This window comes from Homo sapiens, chromosome X, assembly GCF_000001405.40.
Source record: "Homo sapiens chromosome X, GRCh38.p14 Primary Assembly".
NCBI lineage: Eukaryota > Metazoa > Chordata > Mammalia > Primates > Hominidae > Homo > Homo sapiens.
Genome location: NC_000023.11, coordinates 141,166,945 through 141,168,686, shown reverse-complemented (window position 1 = coordinate 141,168,686; position 1,742 = coordinate 141,166,945).

Below are 1,742 nucleotides of genomic sequence, written 5' to 3'. Positions count from 1 at the left end.
TAGGTCTGAGAACACTCTCCCTCCTTTTTTAACAAATCATGGTCATTTCAATAGTACTCTCCTGTTTTCATTATACCTGGATGTACCTAGAAGATTTCTGACATTATTTTCAGAGGCAACAGTCTGTACTTACTGTTCTAGCCCCTGCTGCTCAGTAGTTTTGATGTCTGAATAACCTGAGATAGTCTATGTTCCAGGAAAGTGTCAAGCTAACTTATGATTGGGACTGAATAAGACTCAGCTTTGGGGATAGGAGAAACTGAAAGCTAAATAACAAAATATTAATGGCTTAGAGTACTTTTTCACTGCTGTGTGTGTGTGTGTGTGTGTGTGTGTGTGTGTGTTTCAAAAATAAGATAATAATTTTACCGTTAATTTTCAGAATAACTTTTTATTGCTCTGTGTAGCAAGAGGACAAGTGGAAGGATTTTAGTCATCTGTGGAGAAGGCGAGCCACATGCGTAGGAGACTTGATCAATATGTATATGGGATACATAAATTTGTGATTCATTGGAATAAAAAGTGGAGGGGGCTAAAATTAGCATTAGAAAATGGACCTTAGAAGAGATAGACAAGCATATATGGAAAGACTGGTTCATTGTGAGCTGAGAATGGATTGTTCTTTGCACAAAGTCTGAGTTCAATTAGAATGGGTTTGGTGATCAGAAGGACTTTGATCCCTGTCCTGGCGTTGCCATAGGCTCACTCTGGAAACTAGAGACAACTGAGTTGATTTATCTGATTCTAAACTTCTGCACCTATATCATGGGAATAATTATATCTCAGGAATAATGTAAGAAAAAAATCTAACTAATATCTTGTTTGGTGGTTAAGTGTTAGCCCTATTCTTCTTTTCCTTAGTAGATATTTCTTAGCAAAATAAGAATATAAGATTGACTTTTATGATAGACTTGAGTGTCCTGATAGAAAGACACTAATATTGGGGGACTTGGAATGTCATAGGAGAAAAGGTGGTCAACACATTAAAATATACAGAGGGACATTCACAAGAATAGATATTAAATATTAATTACCATATGAAGAGCATTTGACATTTATAACTTATTTTCATATTCATTTTCTTACTTGATACAACAAGTTGGTGAGGAGATATTGTATTCGTATTTTACACATTGCAATATTTAGACTCAGCAATGCTCAGGGGCTTGTTCGTGATAGAAAATGACAGAAACTTGGCCAGGAGTTCCTACCACAAGTCCAGTGCTCGGTATACAATTTCATGTTGCCTTTGAAAATGCCTTTTGCAAGTTACTTATCTCCTTTGGGCCTTCATTTCCTCATTTGTAATGTGAAATATTTTCATTAGCAGACCATTGCAGTTCTTTCTTGCCTTTAACAACATTAGGGCCTTTAGAATGAGTACCTGGTGCTGTCCTTCCAACTCTGTGATTCTCTGATTCCATCCTCATTTTTCACCATCACTGGTGTACTGGCAAGAACCAGTATGAGATTTGAGGAAAAATACTTGGATTACTCTTTTTTAAAAAAAATTATTTAGATATAATTCCCATACCATACAATTAACCTTTTTATGTGTATAATTCAGTATTTTTAGTATATTCACAAAGTTGTGCTACCATCACCACTATCCGATTCCAGAGCTTGTCATCATACAAAAAAGAAACTGTACCCATTAGTTACTCCCCTCATTGTTCATCTCCCTCCCTGCCCCTATAACTCTCTAGTCCTTGGAAACTACTAATCTAATTTCTGTTTCTATG